This window comes from Homo sapiens, chromosome 1 (genome assembly GCF_000001405.40).
Source record: "Homo sapiens chromosome 1, GRCh38.p14 Primary Assembly".
NCBI lineage: Eukaryota > Metazoa > Chordata > Mammalia > Primates > Hominidae > Homo > Homo sapiens.
Genome location: NC_000001.11, coordinates 95419275 through 95442085, shown reverse-complemented (window position 1 = coordinate 95442085; position 22811 = coordinate 95419275). Strand labels below are relative to the sequence as shown.

At 39.9% G+C, this 22811-nt stretch overlaps 1 annotated feature.

Moving 5' to 3' along the window:
* Positions 3407–3961: an enhancer, noted in NCBI's record as "NANOG hESC enhancer chr1:95903681-95904235 (GRCh37/hg19 assembly coordinates)". NCBI's record gives its function as "activates a minimal SCP1, AML or CMV promoter by ChIP-STARR-seq in primed H9 embryonic stem cells {active_cell/tissue: H9 hESC(primed)}" and the evidence as "EXISTENCE:reporter gene assay evidence [ECO:0000049][PMID:30033119]".

The following is a 22811-nucleotide window of genomic DNA, read 5'->3' as shown; positions in this document are numbered from 1 at the left end:
GTCCTGGGCTTGTCCTGGCTTCCCTACTTACATAAAACACCAAAACATAAAATACTTTGTTCTTATGCAAAAGTTAAAATTATTTGGGATCAAGTCTCATTCTCTCTGTAAATCCAACTCCATTGACTTCAACTAACTGCATTGAACACCATGTATTTGTAAGACATGCTAATAACAATAATAATTAATAAATAAGCGATCTTTGGGCATTGATTAATTAAAAAATTATCCAAGGGCACACTTCTCCATCTTCTCTCTCTTATAGCCCCCTCTCAAGCTCTATTTCATTAAGACCTTGCTGTGACACAGCAACCATTGCCCACACCTCACAGTTCAGATTTATGCTATCTCTAGGCTTAAAATGAAGGTTAAACTTTTTAAAGGGTTGATGGAAATTTATGAGAAAATATCTAGTTTCTCAGCGCAGGAAAAATGTTGTAATTCATCTGTACAAATCAAATGAAGTCATTACAAATGACCCTGATCTTCCTCAGATGCTGCCACATTAAACAGTAACCACCACATAAATTTTGACAAATCCAATCTCACAGCTAATCTTTCACCAAAACTGTGACCAATTAAAAATTCATCTGTATTCTCACAATAATGATCAGAACTCGACCTAACTTTGATACCCTAGGCATTCTCTATATGGAATGAAGACATCTGCCCTGGCACACCAACAGAGATCAATCCTCCACTGCTTAACTCTCCCCTCTCTGGGATTAGAGGAGAGCAGTCTACAGCATTTTGAGGGAACTTTCATGAAGCCTTAGACATCCAGAAAGTCTGAGCAAATTTGGCCTCACTTATGAGACTACATTTTATGTGACAACTGCACTCCTCGGTAGCAGTTCAACCCGTGTCATCAAAAAAGAAGAAAAAGAAGGCACACATCTCTTCTTCCAAAGAGTAAACAAAATAAGACACCAAATGATCCTTTATTCCTATGCTCATGGCAGAAAACACAAGAAAAAATAAAACCTCAAACTCAGAGACCCAGAGCTGTAAACCTCCCTGCAACTCTCATCAGGGCAAAGCAACAAATTGTGAAGAACTCAAAAATGAACAACACTTCACAAGAGCATATTGATTTTCAATAAAGCCATTTACACATTTTTGCTTGGACTACAAGTAGCAAGCTGCTTTCTCAAAGCTTCTGCCACTAAATTAAAAAGTGTGGACCATGTCCTCATTTTACTACATAAAGTCATCTTTGGAAATATTCTTGATGAGAAAAAGGTTCTCATCAGAGAGGAAAGGGGAAATAAAAATGGACAAAATGACATTTGGTATTTTTTCCCCGACTGGCTTAATTACTTGGAAAAGAGAAAAGAATACACAGACCTCCAGAACAAAAAGGCGTTTGTTTGAAATATAGCATGGCTCATATTGGCTCTGCACCAGTGAGCCTTCCAACAGACAGAACACAGGAAATTAAGAAGAGACTGCCTTGGGAAAGTATTTAAATCCTAGGTGAATGATGATTTCTCTTTACTGTAGTCCTTCGGAGTAACGCCTCAGCATCCACTGAAAAACAAGAGACATTTTTGATGAAGAAATTAAACTGAAGAAAGAGCCAATGCAATTCACTCTGTTGCTGGCCTACCTCCTATTTTACTGTGGTTTTAGTGCCACAAACAATTGGCCTTTCAATATAAATAATAATAATAATACTAATGACTGGGAAGGAGAAATATATGACAATAAAAATGTAGGAGGAAGAAAGAAGGAAGCTTCTGTGACACTACATGGATCTGCTGGTTTACAGGTTGCTGTGGATCCAGCAGTCCACCATTGGCATGCATTCTGTCCCTCCCTCTGTGTTGGTACTTCCGGTGGAGGGACTGACACGAAGGTCCAGGGATGGGCAAAGAGGATTATAAGCCTTATAAGCCAATCATGGCAAACCCATGTCCCTTGACAGGGATTGGTTTAAAAACCAAGGCCAGTCCATCAACTGATGAAAGGATATTAAATAAAATGTGGTACATCCATACACTGGAATATTATTTGACAATAAAAAAATGAAGTACAGTATGGATACATACAACAACATGGGTGAACCCTGAAGACATGATGCAAAGTGAGAGAAGCTAGTCACTAAAGACCACATATTATATGACTTTATTTATATGAAATACCAGGGGCAGACAAATCTATAGAGGCAGAAAGTAAAGTGGTGGCTGCCTAGGTCTGAGGAAGATGGAAAAGTTGGAGGATAATAGCTAAGGAGTGGGAAGTTTCTCTTGGAGGTAATGAAAATATTCTAAAAGTTATTGTGGTGATGGGTGCATAATTTGTGAATATACCAAAAGCCATTGAGTTGCATACCTCCAAATGGGTGAATTATAGATATATGAATTATATTTCAATAAAACTGTTTGTTAAAAAGGCCAAAGGCAACAGTCCCATGAAATACCCCTGCATGTTCATGTAAATCCAACTCAATTTAGTTCAATTAGCTGCATTAAGCACCATGTATTTGCAAGACAGTGCTAATAATAATAATAATAAATTAGTAAGTGATCCTTGGGCATTGATTGATCTATTCAATCAATAAATATTTATTAGGTGACTTCTAAGTCAAGAACTGTTCTAGGGACTGGAGATACAGCAGGAAACAAAACAGATAAAATCCCTGTACTGCAATATGGATGGAACTGGAGGTGGGAGGGAAGGATGAAGAGAAGTTGGTTAATGGGTACAAACACACAGTTAGATAGAAGAAAAAAAGTTATAATGTTTGATAGCAGACTAGGGTAGCTATACTTAGCAACAATATCTTATATAATTCAAAGTAACTAGAAGAGAGGACTTGAAAAGATAGCAGCACATCGAAATGAGAAAAACTCAAGGTGATGGATACCCAAATACCCTGACTTGATCATTACACATTCTATGCATGTAACAAACACTCTCATGTATGCCATAAATATGTAAAATATTTTGTATCAATAAAACAATCTCCGCACTTAAGAAGATTATGAAAAATAAGCAAACAGAGAAAACGGTAAAGTGCATCATTGCTTAGATGACAGTAAGTGAACTAGAGAGAAACAAAGCTACCAAGCTGGACTTGTGATTTTAGACTCAGTCATCAGGGTAAGCCTTACTGAAATGAAATTTGAATAAGGGCCATAGGGAATTACTGGTTCAGAGATGGGCATGTAACCAACCCAATTTGATTAGAAACAATCAGATTAGAACAAAAGAAAGAAAAGAAAAGGCCTTTTGTTGAGTGGTTGGGGATCTGGTGCTGTCTCTTACTCTTACTCTCACACTCTTGCTCTCTCTCTTACTCTCTTGATCTCTTGCTCGCTCTCTCTCTCACACACACACACCTGACGTGAAAAACAAAGCACATAGCCCCCAAAACTACCTGCTGCAACCACAAGGACATCCTGCCCTGCAGTGAAGCCGGCACAAGACTACAAAGCAGAGATACAGAAAGAATATGGATTTTTATCACATCATCAATTAATGACACTGAAACCACCCCCTTACCTCTCCACTTCCAAGCATGTAGCCCAACAAATTTTCTTCCTGTGTGGACCACATTAAATGTGCACACATATCCTCCACAGGAGATACATCAGGATTCCTTTTCAAGAGATTTCTCACTCTTTCTCTCATCACCCCCTGTGGAGAAATTACTGTAAGGCTGAATACAACGCTGGGAGGAGAGCAAGGGCATTGTGTGTGAACTCCCAGCATCCATTAAACACAAGCAGCTAAAAGGGGAAGAAGTGGTCATAAGCAAGAAAAACATAGTCTTTGAACTTCCACAACTCCTTTCCTTTTCATCAATTAACTGAACCAAAATTTACTGAATATTTCCTGTTGCAAAGCAGTGCACTATATGCCAAGAATACAGTAGCTCACTCACTCATAGAGGGTAGAAGTCCGGAGATGTGGGCAAGCAAATAATTGAAAAAAAACAAAACAAACAAACAAAAAAAAAACTACTAACCGTTACAAGTGGTGTGAAGGAAAGAAACTGGGAGCTGAGAAACAGAACGGTAAGGGAAACTACTTTGCAGAACATGATTAGAAAAGTCCTCTCTAAGGAAGTGGCATTAGCAGCTCTATTAGAGTCCCCAGCGGCTCTTATATCAATGTGAGCAAGGATGAACACCAATGAACTGAGAAAAGAGAGAGAGAGAAACAGCGTTGCAATAATATACCTCCAGGCTCTTTTTAAGAAAATATCACAGAGAATCAAATTCTCCTTTTCTGAACGTTTTAACTTAGTTCTAGTCTTGCTGAACAGACAAACCTCCCATTGCAAAAGCAAGGTTAATTTCTCAGAAGACACATTGCCAAACATCCGGGGCCAGAGAGATATAACACTAGAGTAGGGGGCTGGCTTAAGACCACAGGGAATATAAAAACTATGTGGCTCACTTAGAGAAGTAAAAATGCAAATAATAGTTTAAAAATACTCTGGCGGTCTGTGATTAAACTGGCATAAGGAGATTGTGGTGACTTGTCTCCTAACAGTTCACTTCTTAGAAGTGAAACACCTGAGGGCATTTTATACCTTTGGGAAACATTTAAAATAATAAATTACCATTTTCTAAAGTGAAGGACAAAGATGCAGAGCTACACCAACGGAATACTGGGAGAAAAAGCCAGAAGAGTGAAATCACGGTCAGAAGTTGCAAAGAAAAAAATAATAATAATTCAGCATGCCTTTATTGGAAATATTACCTTAACAGGAGGATGGGACAGGACAGCGGAGACAAAGGGAACCAGTATCATCATTGAGACAGGGGGCCCCAGCAGGGGTGGGGATAGTGATGCTTTGCAAGGACTAAGCTGATTCTTGAGGAGGAAGAGTCCAGCAGGTGGCAATGGGCATGACTCATGCCCACCCATCCCCTGTGGAGCACACTGGCTTCTATATTATCTCCCCTGCTGTTCAACATTTAGGAGGTATCGCATGCACAAAGAAAGCAGAACTACATGCAGGAGCTACATGCCCGATTTAGATTGTTACTGTGCTATCAATGTCAGCATTTCTTTTTCTATTTCAATGAAAGATTTTGGAGTTTTAACACAAGAGAAGAATGGGACCGGACTTGGCGTGCAAGATAGGAAATGTCTCATGAGAAATAGAATTCACACAATGTACCCTTAGCCCATTTGTCTTGATGAACCCTGAACCAATAACTAAATAGTCATAGATTATTAAAGCTGCAAGTGACTTAGAGAGCCCAGTTAATGCTTTTGGAGCTCAGTCTGAGTTTGCCTTCCAGAGGAGCAACCTAAGGCTCAAATGATAACAAGTCCAGGGACCCTAGAAATAAAAGAGTCCAGGGACCCTAGGAATAAAGACTAAAGTCATTCACCAAAGCAGCAATTCTTACATTTCACATCAACAGCTATTTCTACAAACCTCCTATTCTTTGATTCTGAGGTATCTAGAAAAAAGAACTCAGAAAAAAGCAAGAGAGGGTGCAAGAGGAGGAAGAGAGTATAAGCACTGTCTCCATTCAAATTGCTGTGACAAAGTACCATAGAACAAGCGGCTTATGAACGTCAGACATTTATTTCTTACAGTCTGGAGGCTGGAAGTCCAAGATCAGGGTGCCAGCATGGTCAGATTCTGGTGAGGACTCTCTTCCCGGTTTCACACTGCCAACTTTTCAGTGGACAGTAGTCCCCTCTTATCCTTAGGGGATATGTTCCAACAACCCCGGGGATGCCTGAAACCGCAATAATACCAAACTCTATATGTGCTGTTTTTTTCCTATACATACATACTTTTGATAAAGTTTAACTTATAAATTTGGCATACTAAGAGATTAACAGTAGTAACTAATCGCAAAATAGAACAATTATAACAATATACTCTTCACAGTTTAACAGATGTGTTCTTACAATAGATCTTAACAGCCTCAGCATGTTTTTTCTTTGCTTATTAAGCTTGAACTTTCACCTTTTCACTTAAAGGAAGCACTTTACAGCTTCTCTTTGGCATCTCTGAATTGCTAGCATTGCTATTCTTGTGCTTTGGGGCCGTTATTAAGTAAAATAAAAGCAAGTTCAACACAAGCACTGCAATACCTCCACAGTGAATCTGATAACAGAGACAGCAACTAAGTGACTAAAGGGTGGATAGGGCATGCAGTGGGGATAGGCTGGACAAAGGGATGATTTCCATCCCAGCGAGATGGAGCAGAACCATGCAAGAGTTCATCACACGGTACTGAGAACAATGCAGTTTACAAGATATGAGTTATTCCTGGAATGTTGCATTTAATATTTTTGTATGGCAATTGACCGCAGGTAACTGAAACTGTGGAAAGTGAAACTGCAGATAAAAGGACACTATTGTACTCTCTCATGAAAGAAAGCTAGCTAGCTCTCTAGCCACTTCTTATTAGGGCACTAATCTTTTTCCTCAGGGCTCCACCCTCATAGCTAATTATCTCCCAAAGGTCCCACCTCCAAATATAATAACACTGGGATAAGGGTTTCAGTATATGAATTTGGAGGGGAAACAAACACTCAGTCTATTGCAAAAACCAAATAAACTTAAAAACATATGACCTGTGCCTTAAAACAAAAAAATAATGTTGAAAAGAATATAAAAGTAAGATGCACGGAACCCTTAAATAAAAACAAACAACAATAAATAAAGAGCCTCGACCTTATTAGAATACCACGCATCATTCTCTTCTTCTGTTTGCCACATGTATCAGAAACGAATAGGCCCCTTCATGAACTGCAGTCAACTTCCAATCATCTGTTCCTGGAACTGAGTGGCAAGGAGTCAAGATTATTGGCATCCCAGCCACTGCATGAAGCAAATGCTCACTGGGAAAGGATGACACCTCTACTGTTTTATATTTATCCTAAACAATGTTCACTACTCAATCTCAAATGCACTAAGGGACATAAGAAGACCAGACAGAGTTAACACAAACCAAGAACAATAGCCAAGAGGAAGAGACATACAGGGGCTCCAGAAAATGGAGTAAACTGTCACAGACTTTAGTTATGCTTAGAATGTTCCAGGAGACAAAAGACAAGTTAGAGAATTTCAGCAGAGATGCTTTGGAGGGCCTAGCCAGTACATTAAGGCAAGAAAAAAAAGATATTAGGATTGGAAAGAAAAAAATAAAATTTATTGTGTTGCAGATGACATGATTGTTGGTGTTGAAAAAAGAATGTATAGGTAAATTATTAGAAATAATAAATGAATTGACCAAGATATCTGGATAAAGCTTAATGTTTAAATATGACTGATTTATATTAGCCACTAAGAGTTTGAAAATGACATATTACAAAGATGTTACTATAATACCATCAAAATATGACAAATATGAATAACTAACCAAAGATCTGTAAGACTTCTGCATAGAAACTATAAAATATTACTTAGAAAAACATAAGAAAACCTAAACAAATGGAACCATTTATCATAATCATGGAAAAATTGAAAACTCAACATTGTGAAGACAATTCCCCTCAAATTCATATATAGATGTAATGCAAACCCAATCAAAATCCAGAAAGATACATTGTGTGGAAATTGACGAGAGAACTCCAACTTTTATATGGAAATGCAATGGATCAAGAATAGCAAGGACACTGTAGAAGAAGAGGAGAAAAAAGGTAAGAGTACTTACTCTTCCAGAATTATTATTTTTATGTATCTTATTTATTTATTTATTTATTTAGAGATAGGGTCATGCTCTGTTACCTAGGCTGGCGTGAAGTGGTGCAATGACAGCTCACTGCAGCCTCAAACTCCCTGGCTCAAGTGATCCTCCCACCTCAGCTTCCTAAATAGCTAGGACCACAGGCACGTGCCACTATGCCCAGCTAATTTTTGTATTTATTTATTTATTTATTCTTGTAGAGACAGGGTCTGGCTATGTTGCCCAGGCTGGTCTCAAACTCCTAACTCCATGCCTCAAGCGATCCTCCTGCAAATTAAATCCACAATGAGATACCAACACACATCAGAATGGCTAAAATTTAAAATACAGGAAAAGGCAAGGATCGAGAAGATGTCAAAATTCAAGGGTGTTCATATATGGATAGTTTTTGTACAACCATCTTGGAAAATATTTTGTCATTATCCACCAAAGTTAAAAAATGCACAAAGATCTAATAAATCATCTTCCATACAGAAATGTATACATGTACATCAAGATACATGTAGAAGAATGTTTATGGCAGCATTATTAGTAATAGTCAAAAATATATACATTAGCGGTAGGATGGCTAAACATGGAATACTGTATAATAGCAGTGTCCAATAAAAATATAAGGTGAATTACATATGTAATTTTAAATTTTGTAGTAGGCACATTAAAAATAAGAAATAAACAAGTAAGATTAGTTTTAATAATATATTTTATTTAACCTAATCCATCCAAAATATAATTTCAACATATAAACCATATTAAAAATTATTAATGAAATATTTTACATTCTTTTTTGTACTAAATATTTGAACTCCAGTATGTACTTTACACTTATAGCACATCTTATTTCAGACTAGTCACATTTCCAGGGCTCAATAGCCTCCTGGGGTTAGTGGCTCTATAGTAAATAGCATATCTTTATCACAATTAAATGAGCAAATCACAGCTACATGCAAAATGGATGAATCTCTCAAACATAATATTAAGCAAAAGAAACCAGATACAAGAGAATGTATATTGTATGATTCCATCTAGCTCAAAAACAAGCAAAACTGCCATTCTGTTAGACGTGAGAATAGTGCCCTGCTCCTCTAGGGAGCAGGGAGAGGGTAGTGATTGGAAGGGGGCAGAGATGAGACTGCTAGGATTGGGGCAATGCTGTATTTCTTGATGTGGAAGTATCGCAGTTGTTCACTTTGTGACCATTTATTGAGCACTTTTCTGTACATGTGTTGCAGTCCTCAACTTTTTTAAGTGGGAGAGAAAAGAAGGAAGGGAAGAAAAGAAAGCTACAACTGATAACCAAGTACATGCTAGAATTTAAGAGAAAGTTAAAATCATAGAAGGGGGTTCAGCAATCACTTAAGCAGAGAACAAGTAGAGAACAGGAAAATTCACACATCCGTGATTGATTTACTTAAGGAAAATATACTATAGGTCAAAGAAAACACCATTCTTAAGGTTCAGAAGAGAATGCCTCTGAATAGAATCAATTATAGGTTCCAGAAGGAAATGTCAAAAAAAATGAGACCCAAATTGTATCAAGTTACACAAAAGTAAGGGATAGAAGTATCCAACTAAAGCCCTGTGGGCTAGATTTGCCCACAGACCTGTTTCATATGGCCTACACACTGTTAAAAAAACTAATACTCTTTGAACCAAGCTTTTAATGCCTAGATTCTCTCCCAGAGAACGGCAGTGGGCTCTCACTGGCCAGCACTTTTCCTTCAGCCTGTGCCACTCATTTACTGTACCTGGGTAGTCACAGTACAAACCAAGATTTCAACTCAGGCCTCTCTGGTTTTAAAGTCCTTTTCCTTTTCAAAACCAGAAAGAGAACATAGGTGCTGGGGCTGAAAACAATGGAACAACTAAAACCTTACTGTTGAGACTTACTATTCCTCCTTTTCTCTAAACTCCAGTATTATTTCTCCAATTGGAGGGAAGAATGACTTTACTTTTTTTTTTCTTTTTTGAGACAGAATCTCGCTCTGTCACCCAGGCTGGAGTGCAGTGGCGTGATCTCGGCTCACTGAAACCTCTGCCTCCCAAGTTCAAGCAATTCTCCTCAGCCTCCCAAGTAGCTGGGACTAGGCACACTCCGCCACGCCCAGCTAATTTTTGTTTTTTTAGTAGAGATGGAGTTTCATCATGTTGGCCAGGATGATCTCCATCTCTTGACCTCATGATCCACCCGCCTCACCTTTTTTTTTTTAGACAGAGTCTCACTGTCACCAGGCTGGAGTGCAGTGGCACAATCTCAGCTCACTGCAACCTCTGCCTCCCAGGTTCAAGTGATTCTCCTGCCTCAACCCACTGAGTAGCTGCGATTACAGGCATGCACCACCATGCCCAGCTAGTTTTTGTACTTTTAGTAGAGACAGGGTTTCTCCATGTTGGCCAGGCTGGTCTTGAACTCCTGACCTCATGCTATCCACCCACCTCGGCCTCCCAAATATCTTTATAGTGATGCCTTCCTCCATCAGTTATTTTTAGAAGTTGCTAATTATTATGTATGATAGAATTGCCTGAAAGCCGCCCTTTCTAGGAACCACTTGAGGGAAGTCTTAGTGACTTATTCAAGAGTGCAAGCCTGTTTCCCAGGTCATTTCATGTCAAAATCCCTGAACAAGAGATTAATTTAATGCATCATTACGGTGACAGAGGAGTTTTCAGAATACCCTACGGTGTGTACACAGTAATGTGGACAGAGATGTTATGTGGGATTCCATAAGGCAATATGTGCAAATGTGCCTTGAAAAGTGTAGCCCGCTGCATTAAATGTAAAAGTGTGTTAATTAAAATAACCTGGAAATTTACTGCTAGAACTGGAACAAGAAGCTGGACACTGTTTCTGAGGTAACATTCAACTGACAGTCAGCAAATCAATATGCTATAGCACAGCATGATTTAGGAGTGATTAAATTTACTTTACTCTGCTTAATGTAAATGAAAGGTTCATACCCCTCATCCCTGTTTGCCCTAGGCCCCAGCGCAAAATATCTTTCTGCTAATGACTAGGCAGTGAGTCAGAGAAAGAGAAAAGAAAATAGGAACCTTCAGGCTGTACTAAAACACAACCCAGACTGTTCTAACAACAAGCAATCGAGCCCTAAGACCACCAACAACTCCAAGTACAGGTTAGAGAACCACCCTGTCTTCCTTGGGTCACTGCTTTTCATTTCTCCCTCTAGGTAAATCCTCCATAAATCTGATGCATTTGTTCACCTATGGAATATTCCAAAGCACCTTTGTTATCCAAAACTTGGAGACTAAAGGGAACTATGAGATTTATAGACACCTAAGTGATTTATCTAGTATACTTAAGAGCAATAAATAAATTTAAAATGGTACCACTTTTACAAAAAAAAAGATCTACTGTTTCCATAATCTATGATATTTGTCACGTGCCTGTTGCATTGATTCTAAAATAATAACACTGATAATGATGAAGCAGTATCAACGTGTAGGTTAGTGTGAAAATTAAGTACCTGGCTTTTAGTTTTGACTGTCCTGAGGTGAATAACATAATTGTTCAGTGCTTCAGTTTATCCCACTGTGAAAGAAGTGATTTTGTTTACCCTCTGTGCTCTTCTCAGAAAAGACTATTGTTGACCAAAGCCTTTAACTATGGAGGGAAATAACACATGTATCAAAAGGTATTGATGCTAGCCATAACATACACAGCTGTGAACAAAGACACCAGCCTGGGAGAACAATTCATGACATCCACACATGACATGTTTCTCCCACAGATTGCCAAGGCTGACTCTCTCACACTGGCCAACTATGTAGGCATCACTTTCCTCTCCTACAATTCCTGGAGCTATAAGGTAGACCCAAGAAGAATTTTCCAAAAGAACAAGAGTGCCTCTCTGTTAAATATTTGAGAATAGCTGTATTTCCCTTCTCCAAGAGAAAAAAACAGTCCACATTACATAACCACTGTGCTTCAAATGTATATTGATAGCTCACACGATAGTGAATTAAAATAAAATCTGGAAGAAGCAAAGATCTCTCTTCCTTTCTTACTAAGAAACAAATTTATGTTTACTCCCTTGACTCCATCCAAGATTCTTACTCCTTCCACTGCCTGACCCACATTCTATCTTCTCTTTAAAAGGAAAAAAAAAAATCCCCGACAAAGAAAAATTAGTTGCAAAAGCTCAATTCCAAAGCATTCTCAGGGTTTAGTAGCCAGACTGATTTGATCCAATGTCTAGGACACCAAGTCAAGGGCTTAACAGCCACAATTTGATAAGTCAGCTGAATCTCGTCCCTCTACCAGAACCAGTGGTGAGACAGGACAGGACTGGCAAAAAAAAGACAAAGGAAGGTGTTCACTAAATGGAGATGTAGACACCCAAGCATGTCCACACATTGACAGTGGCAAAAGTCCCAGTCCCACCCATTTATGTAAGCTATGTTTCGATCTGAGAGAAGAATCAACTTAAGAGTAATAAAACAATAGTAGCCACTGCTTATCGAACATTTAACTCTGTACCATTTACATATGCTATCTCAGTACCTACATGGATATTTGTTTTAGTCTATGTAGGCTGCTATAACAAAATACATTAAACTGAGTAGCTTTTAAGCAACAGAAATTTATTTCTCATGGTTCTGAAGGCTGGAAAGTCCAAGATCGGGGTCCAGCACATTCAGATTCTGGTGACAGCCCTCTCCTGGCTTGCACACTGCTGACTTTTTGCTGTGTCCTCACATAGGGAAAGGAACTCCACAGCTCCCCAGTATCTTTCATAAGGACATTAATGACATTCATTAGGACTCCACCCAAAGGCCTCACCTTCTAATCCATCATCTTGGAGGTTAGAATTTCAACATGAATTTTGAGGAGACACAAATGTTTAAAACATAGCAGTACTAATACTATTATTGTTAACCCCATTTTGTCAAGAGAAAGCCATATTTGTTCTCTATTGCTATTTAACAAATTAATCCCAAAATCTAGCAGCTTAAAACAACAAATGTGCCACCTCACAATTTTCGAGGGTCAGAAATCCAGGAGAAACATAGCCAAGTAATTCGGTCCCAGTGTCTCATGAGGCTGCAGTCAAGATGTTGGCTAGAGACACAGTCCTATGAAGGTTTGATGGGCCTGGAAGATCTGCTCCCAAGTTCACTCATGTGGCTTTTAGCAAGAGACCTCAGATCTTTGCCACATGGGTCTCTCGGGAGGGCTCACAGCACAGCTACTGGCTTCCACCAGAATAAGTGACCTAAAAGTGACAGAGGTACCAAGGTGGAAGTCTCAGTCTTTTATAACCTGATCTCAGAAGTGACACATCATCATTTCTGCATATTTTATTGATCACACAGACTAACTGGTAAACGTGGGAGATGATTACATAAGGGCATCAACATAAGAAGGTGGGGGTCACTGGGTCTATCTTGGAAGCTGGCTACCACAAAAACGGACGCATGAAAAGGTACTAGCTTGCCACGTAGAGTTAGTACTGGATAATCAAGATGTAAACTTGGGGGTGTGATTCTATTCAGAGCCCCCATTCTTTAGAACTATTAAGCTATTACAGAGCCAATAAAGGGAGAACTGAGAAAAACGTTCAACATGCAGATCTACAGGACAACTCTTCCTGTTTGAAAGCCCACCCCAGAAAGGGGTTCAGCCTGAGAGTCCTCAATTCATGTGACTCTGGCATGACTGGAAGTCTCATCAGGACACTGATATACTTCAGTGCAGGACCCTCAGCCTGTTTGCTTATTCTTCTTCCTTCCACCTCTATCACGATGTGAGAAGCTCTGTCCAAATTCAACTTTTTGTCCCAAAACAGACTTGGGCTGGAGCATAGGACACAATTTAGAGGTTGTATCAACTTGGCAGCTTTTAATAACAAAACAGAATATTGTTTTCTTAAGGTCCTTTGTAGTTGCCCTTCCTTGAGCATAAATTCACATGTTCTCTCAGCTAAACACTGGGAAGAAATAAGTTCAGCTAAACAAAGGAAGAAGAAAGTTTTAGTGACTTTTAAAAATATTAGTAGCCATATTTCTTTAACAGACATTCATTTCCTGGATTAGACACTAAGGAACTAACATTATCATTCTATTTTATTTATTCTATGCATCTGTGGATTACAGAGTAGATCATGTTAAGTATAATGCTTTGAAAGGACCCTTCAGAGAAAGAACTAAATGAATTTTCCCATCTATTCTTAATATTCTCCCTACTGAATGCAGACAGCAACAGGAAAATTCAAAGCTATTATTTTTAATGTCAAATGCCTTTACTAGTCCAATAAAAGGGGAAAGATATTAAACTTTTTATACGACAAGAAGCAGATAGCACATATCTTCAAGAAACACATCTTAATCAAATTGAACATAGGAAATTAAAAAGTGGATAGATGAGTGAAGGTATCTATCCTCACTTAATTAAAAAAAAAAAAAGCTCTGGCAATTCTTACGAACAAGAGAGCATGTCTTTTCTCCCCTTTGTTCCTTTCAGGGGAATAGTGTGGATTAATTTTGGTTCAGATGGTTCTGAAAAAAAACACCTGAGAAATTGCCATACTCAGTCTTCAGATGAAAAGGAAATACCCCCTTTCAGGCAAACCCCTTACATTATGAAACAACACCAGTGAGAAAAAGCAGACATGGACCTCAAACCCAACTACACAGCCTTGGCCAAGGTGAGTTCAAATGCTTTCCTGATGACCTTCCAGAGTAGCTGTAAACATCAGATGAGGTAACTCAGTTAGAGACTGCTGGGAAAAATAAAGCCCTGTCCAAGTATAAGGCAGGAAAAGTGGTGTATGTTTGTTAAAGTTATCTACATAAAATACTTCAAAATTAGGCTTGTAAATACATAATTCAGCCAAACCACCATAACCCAAGAACAATCATAACAAATGTTTATCAAGTATTTACTATCAGCCTGACACTCTGCATATATATACATATAAATACTCACAACAAATCTGAACGCTATGTATAGTCCCATTTTACATATTAGCCAACAGGTTTCAAAAAGTTAAACAACTTTCCCAAGGTCATGAAGCCCTGTAGAGTCAGCATCTGGATTTGGATATAAGTATGTCTGATTCCCAGCCACAGAGTTACTCTACCACACTGTCTCTAATTCTGCAGATACTTTTTTGTCCAGAGTGAAGAATTACCCTGCCCAACTTTGGAGCACAAAAGGAACCTCACCATAATAGCACATTCACAAATATACAGACGCAACACACAATCACATACACACTGAGATTTAACATTACACTCTGCAAGTCAGAAATACTCTCTAACACTAAATGTGTTGTAATTACATTGATTATAAAGCTGAGCCAGGTTTGAAAATATCTGGAGGCATACTTCTATTTTTCACTTCACACTTGAGCATCAGTAGAGAAGAATTCAAATAAGGATGTTACTGGTTTTACATGCTAAATGGAGATGGAAAAATGCCACGGATTCCATGATCATGTGCAAGGGGAGAAATGGAACTTCCTGTAGAAGAGTGCATTCTATGGGTGCAAAATGATGCAATATTTTTTAAGTGTTTCCTTAAAGACAGGGACTTAACAGAGAAATGCCCTGACTGCTAAAAATTGAGTTTGTTATTCTAATATCAAGAACCCATTATTGGGCATGTACTATGTGCAATGCATTAAGGCTGTCACAAAGCGTTGGAAGACACCATTTCTGTCTTAAAGGAGTTGCAGTCTTTCAGAGTAGAAGAAATACACACTAAGCAAGACAATCAGCCACATGAGCCTGTGAAAAAGAAACTCCAAATCACCAGCATGGAAACAAGTGATCTATAAACAAACAATAGCTTATTTAAGCAAAAAATAATAAACAGATTTTAGTAAAAGAATTGGGTGCTGACTCAGAGACAGAATTCTGGGTTCACTACTGAGAAAACAGCGACAGGGACTGTGCTGGTCCTGCACACTCTAAGATCCATTCCTTACCCTGCCCCTGCTCTGCACTGCATCGCCAGAGGGCTGGGACAGCCAGGACACTTTGCCCAATCTTTGATAGCTGGCTTCTGCAAGAGACTGGTAGTGGCACTTCAGGGGAAGGGAAAAACCAAGGTGTTTTCTTTCCTCCCTTTCTGCTTCAACTCTGCTGTGTCTTTTCCATGTTTCTGCTCCCATCCAACAGTCCATGTTGTTTTAACCTCCTCTAGCTAAGCCCAGCCCTAGGCTCCTGTCCTTTGTCCCCCAGTTTTGGATGGCAGTAGCTTCCTGTTGTCACTAATCTCTGGGTTGCCTCACTGTCCCCTAATTGATGTCTCAGTTTTTTCTATCATCTGTGTAACTAGATCCCTGCTTTAAAATCCTACTAGTTTAAATTTTCAGTGTTTCTGTTTTCCTGGTTGGACCCTGTCTTAGGTCTTAAGACCCTATCTTAGAAGCAGACTCCGAAACAGTCTTGTGAAAGTGATGTATGGAGGGAGTGCTCTCAGGGGCCAGGGAAGGAAGCCGAGCCAGGACATGCCTCATTTGGAGACCAGCTTCAGGTCCCACGGAGATCTGTAGTCCACTCTCTGCACCAGAGTTGGTCCCCTCTTTAGGACAAGAGGGTCACCAACCACCCCAGTTTTCCTGGGACTGAGGAATGCAGAACTTTCAGCACTGAACTGGGACAGTGCCAGGCACACGAGGATGTTTGGCCATGCTATAAGACAACTGGTATTGGCTCCAATCTCGAGTGAGGAGACCTCAGGGTGAGGTAGAGTGTGCTGCTTCTGAGAAGGAAAGCTGTAAACACTGGAAACCCACACTCTCAGAAGACAGGATCGGGTCTTGGCTGACTGACACGATTTCCTTCCATTCTACATCCAGCCTGTTATATTTGAATATTCATCTAATAGGTTTATAGCTCTAAAGCTCCAGCCAATTTCCCCATTCAAACTAAAAGATTAAATTATCATCATTCATCACTTGTTTTTTTTTTCATGACCTATTTTTGTTCCTTTTTTGTAAGACAAAAAGAAGAGGTTCTGCAATAAGCGAAAGTTAAATTTGATGCTGATATAGTTTGGATATTTGTCCCCTTCAAAAAAAGTTGTTTTTGTTTTTGTTTTTGTTTTTGAGATGGTCTCACTTTGTTGCCCAGGCTGGAGTGCAGTGGTGTGATCTTGGCTCACCGCAACCTCCGCCTCCCAGATTCAAGCAATTCTTGTGCCTCAGCCTCCCGAGTAACTGGGATTACAAGCATGCACCACCACACTCGGCAAATTTTTGTATTTCTAGTAGACATGTGGTTTCACCATGTTGGCTAAGCTGGTCACGAACTCTGACCTCAAGTGATCCACCCGACTTGGCCTCCCAAAGTGCTGGGATTACAGGTGAGCCACTGCACCCGGCCCTCTTCAAATCTTATGTGAAACGTGATCATCAGTATTGGAGATGGGGCCTAGTGGGAGATGTTTGGGGGTAGATCCCTCATGAATGGCTTGATGTCCTTCCCCCAGAAATGAGTTCTTGCTCTATTAGTTCACTAGAGAGCTGGTCATGTAAAAAAAGAGCTTCACACCTCCTCCCCTCTCTCTCTTGCTCCCTCTCTTGTCATGTGAAATACCTACTCCCCCTTCACCTTCTGCCATGACTGGAAGCTTCCTGAGGCCTCAGCAGAAGCAGATATCGGCACCATGCTTCTTTCAGAGCCTGTAAAACCATGAGCCAAAATAAACCTCTTTTCTTTATAAATTACCTAGCCTCAGGTATTCCTACATAGCAATGCAAAATGGATTAATACAAATGCTTTGTCATAGTTCCAAGTTCCTAGGTAGCCTAAACTCTCTGAATAAAACTCTCAATCAACATTTTTCAGCCCCATAGCTGACACCTGTCAGCCAGTGGAGACACAGGCTCTGGGGCCAGGAGATCAGGATTCTTCCTCTGCTGCTTCTTTTCTGAAAATGGTGTCGAAATCCTGGCCTCACAGAATAGCTGGGAGGATTAAACGTATTAATGTTTGTAAAGTCATTGGCACAAAATAAATGTTCCATGAGTGGCAGCTTTTGTGGATAATGGTTGTACATAATCTGAAAGCCTGATTTCTAAACCAATCGGCATTGTAAAGTGTGATGAGAGACCTTCACTAATTACAATCTAGGTAGTGGCCAGAAACAGAGGGCCCCATCTGCAGAAATTAAAGTGGTTCATATTCGTCCTAGATTATACTTGAACTGCTGCCCCAAAAGATTTGTATCTTAGACTTTGGTCAAAATGACTCTAAGATATTAACTAAAGAATTTACTTTAGAGAAAGTCAAAGGGCCGTTAAAAGAAATTAAACCTAAAGCAAATGTTGAATCATGTAACGTGTGTGTGTGTGTGTGTGTGTGTTTAAATAAAGCTATAGTATGTAATTAAATTTGGGAGCAGGAATGAGGGGGATAAAATTATTCCAGCTGCATCTCAACTAGGCTCCTTACATTGCAAGCATGGTTCAGTAACTGTACTTACACATAAATGGATTTATCCTTATAATTCAAATAATCACTTTAATATTTTCAGCATCAACCATGTATGAAATCTCTGTATAAGAGCTGTAGAAATTTCCCAGGGGAAGAAAAGTATCTACAGATTACATATAAACCTGTATACCATCCCCACTTTCTTTGCCACATATAAGGAAAAAAAAATAGGTATGCTGAGTAATATCCATTTCCAAACCTTTGGTAAACTGTAAAGGCCCTTATAAACGTAAGGTTTTACTATCATAAGTACTATGAAATTCAGAATAACATCACACACACACACACACACACACACACACACACACACCCCAGAGCTACAGCCAAATGTGCAAACCATAGGAATGGGAGGGGGAGATTGGTTCTTCTCAGCTTTTTGACAGGAAGGCAAATTTTTTTCCCTAAAATAAACTTAGTTTGAGATAGGATTGAAAAGATTTGGCAAATGCAAATACCCACTGGTAACCAGGAGTGAATTATAAACAATACCTACTCAGGGTTATAAGCATTAATGGGGTTAAGTGGAATTTCACACTTGAGGAATTTCATATGCTCAGTCTTGACCTAACTTCAGAAAATATGTGGCTTTACTGTAAAATGCCCTAGAGACTCAAGAGGCATGCTGTTAGTTTGTGGGCAACACACAGCAGAATTTCAATCAGAATGGAAAATTAAACACATGGCGCTCTCCCCTGGCCTTCTGTTTCTCTCTAGGGGGGAAAGAATCTTACAAGACTCCCCCTTCTTTCTAACCCTCACATCTAATGAGTCTCCTGCCTGATCCAGCCTCAGAGAGTTTCTTATGACCACTCCTTCCTCTCCACCCTACACCACTGCCTCAGTGACTCAACATCTGGACATTCTGCCACACTCCTTTCTTCCACACCTATGTCCTGAAGAATCTCTTCAGCCTATAGTCTCTTCTTAAACCAACCATCTTCTTCTCGGCCACCAGATCAATCCTAAAAGAGGAGGTGCAAAAAATAATAGACCTACCAAACATTCCAGGAAAATAAGAGTGGGAAATGCCACTTACCTTACATCCTCTTTGGAGCATCACTTTAGCAAAGTAAAGGTCCTGAGACGTCCTGAAGTAAAGATATCAGCTTAATTTATTTAATCCACATTCTTCAAACTGGATAATTGCAGTGAGCAACCCCTATAAGGTAGGTACCATGATTATTGCCATATTACAGACTACAAAACTGAGGACATGCATGGTTAGATAACTCCTGAAGGTTACACACCTACTGAATGTAGAGTCAAGGTTCAAACCAGGGAGACTGACTCCAAAGCTAAACGTTTTTTGATATCCCGCAGAACCACACATTGAGAAACATTCTCTTGGATCTTAAAGTGTATATTGTATCTCGTGCTTCTGATAAAAGGTTCACAACAAGTCTCACTAAACATGCTTTATAGTCTTTAACTTAGTGGGCCTTGCTACTCAAAGTGAGGCCCAAGGCCCAGCAGCCCTGGCATCATGGGGCAGCTTTCCAGACATGCAGAATCTCAGGCCCCATTCCAGCCCTTCCATGTCAAAATCTGCATTTTAACAATGCAGAATCCCCAGTTTGAGAACCACTGCCCTTAAAGCATTCAAGGCTTTAGAGCATGATCTAGCCTCAGCTCATGCTTTTAGCCTCTTCTCTTATCATTCCTCCACTGTAAATTTGTCTTCAGCAAACCATGTTTCCTGAACTCATCAGCCTGACATTAATATAGAGCAGAATCAGCCCGCAAAGAGTATCTGTCTGAAACAGCCCCGCATCCACTCATTGTTACCCCTCAAATTCCCCCCAGGTGGCACTGAAATTCCCCTGCATGTGTCTCCCATGTGTCCTGGGGTCTGAAATCCACTATTTTCCTCCTCCTTCATTCTGTGGTCATCTCCTTTCTCTGCCAGCCCCAAAGCTGGCAACTATGCCACCAAACCCTACTAGGGGCAGTACCTGCCCCAATGCCTCCAATGCTGGCCCAGGCCCGCCAACACCAGAGGTGCGGGACATGGGAGGGCTGCTCTACCAAAGCCACTCTCCACCCTGCTCCTCGAGGACACAGATCATGAATGATCCCTCCACACAGCCACAGTAAGACATGGACAACAAAGAAGAGAAGGATGGGTAACCAGGCAATTAGGTCAGAAAGACTTTTTCCAAAATGATTTCTTACAATGATTCCTCAAAAATATATATTTCTAAAATAATTTTATCCAGTATTTTCCACACAGCTCACCAGAGAATGACTGTTGCCCACAGTGAGATGCATGCATACACTCTTTTGGATGCAAGTGTGTTCGCTGAGGAGAGAACATAGAGAACAGGCAGGAGAAAAATCTAAAGGCCTGACCCGAAGCAAAGACTCACGTGAGCACTTGGAAGTGACATCTGGGAGATCCACAACTTAAATGGACCAAATTGAGGAAGAGGGGTGCAGACATCTCCTGGACTAAAGAACAGGACTCTGGGGGAGGGAAAGCAGGGTAGGGAAGAAGGAAGGTGAATCTGTCGGGAGACTGGTTATTCAATGCCAAGGAAGCTGACCAGTGATGGCTTCAAATCCCAGGTGAGGAAGCAAAAGATGACATCTCTCTCCTAAGTGCCAAAGTAAGTAAGGAAGACAGCCAGGACAGGAAATTGTCCAGAGAACTCTAAGCCATCCCATTCCTTATGTAGATGCTCCTTAAACAGATGCTCAGCTTATGACGGAGTTACATCCCAATGAACCTATAGTAAGTTAAATTATCTTAAATCAAAAATGCATTTAATACTTCAATAAATCCATCAGACCCACAGTAAGTTGGGGACTGTTTGTACTCCACAAAGAGCTATGTGTATAAGATGTGAGACAATGACACAGATTTTTGCAACAACCATTTGGATCCAAGGACAAGACACTTTACAAGAGCTGGTAGTTGGCCTGACCACTCACCCAACCTTCCAATTAATCACAGGGTCCAGTTGAATTTTGTATATATTTATCTACCTTTTTCCTACCTTCATCTCACCCCTCTTTGCCTATGTTATCTTACACTATATTAGTCAGGGTTCTCCAGAAAAACAGAACCAATAGGAGATACATATATTCCAAGAATATAAATAATTAGATTTATTAAAAGGAATGAGCTCATGCAGTTATGGAGGCTGAGAAGTCCCAAGATTGGCTGACTATGACCTAGACACCCAGGAAAGCCAGTAGTGTAGTTTGAAGGCCTGAGAGCCAGAGAGCAAATGGTATAGATTCTAGTCTGAGTTTGAAGACCCAAGAGCTAGGATGACTGAGGACAGGTCAATATTTGAGCTCAAGTAGTCAGGCGGAGAGTGGATTCACCCTTCTTCCTGAACAGATTAGAAGATGCTCACACAAATTGGCCATCTGCTTTACCCAGTCTGGCAATTCAAATGGTAATCTCCTCTAGAAACACTCTTACAGGACACCCAGAAATAATGTTTAACAAGATATCTAGGTACCCCATATCCCAGTCAGGTTGACACATAAAATTTACTATCACACTCATACTAGCCAACTAAATAACCTCCTTTCTGCTCCCACAGATTTAATCCTGGCCTTTCTCCAACTCACTCTTCACACTGCACCAAGTCCATCTTTGAAACATACCAATCTGGTCCTGTCACTCTTCTCTGTAAAACATTTGTGACTCCCCATTGCTCTTGAGACAGTGCATTAACTCTCCATAGGACCCCAGCAAAGACAGCTGATGTGATCTGCCATCTTTACTACCCCACTCCAACAACTGCTCTGCTCCCCCTGTTCTCTGTTTCTACTTCTTGGATATACCAGTCCTTCTGCCACAGGCTCTGCATATGCCTTTCTTCATCCCCATCCTCTTCCTCACACACATCCTGTTAACCACCAAATTCTCAGCCCTTTTTCTGTCTTCCTTCTCTTTAAAGCTCAGTTTAAATGTTACTTCCTCAGGACTCCCCATGACTACATAGGAGGTTCCCAGTGTATTCCCCCAGCACCCCAAACTCTTCTAATAACATGTATCATAATTCCATTTCACTAATTACTTACATACTTAATATAATTGGTTTCTGAAAGTGCCAGGATGGTATAAATCATATTCATTTTATTTATTACTGCATTACCAGTACATAGTGCATATGCCTAGTATTTAGTAGGTGCTTAGAAAATGTGTCTGGAAGAAAGGAGGGAAGGAAAGAAGGAGGGAAGGAAGGAAGGAAGGAGGGAGGGAGGGAGGGAAGGAAGGAAGGAGGGAGGGAAGGAAGGAAGGAAGGAAGGAAGGAAGGAGAGAAAGTAGGAAAGAAATGAAAAAGGGCTATTTTCCAGGCATTTCAGGCAATCAGGAATAAGTTTTTTTTTAATCAAACCTCTCAAAATAGTACTGTAAGACAACGTAAACCATTAACCAACTTTGTCATCATCCATCCACTTGTAATGATACAAACAGGGAAGCCTTTATGAAAGTCAAGATCAGTGTTTATCACCTAATTCTATAAGCAAAAATATCATTATTTAACTCTTAACTCACACACTAATGCTAATTAGGGAGAAAAGTAGCGTTGAGCAATGATGGTCAAAATTGAAGTCTTCAAGTCTACTTATCCACACAGAGAATGTATGGATCACCTCTCCATTTATTCTCATAAATCACTAACAAAGTAAATTTAGAGAATATAAGTGTTCTCATAT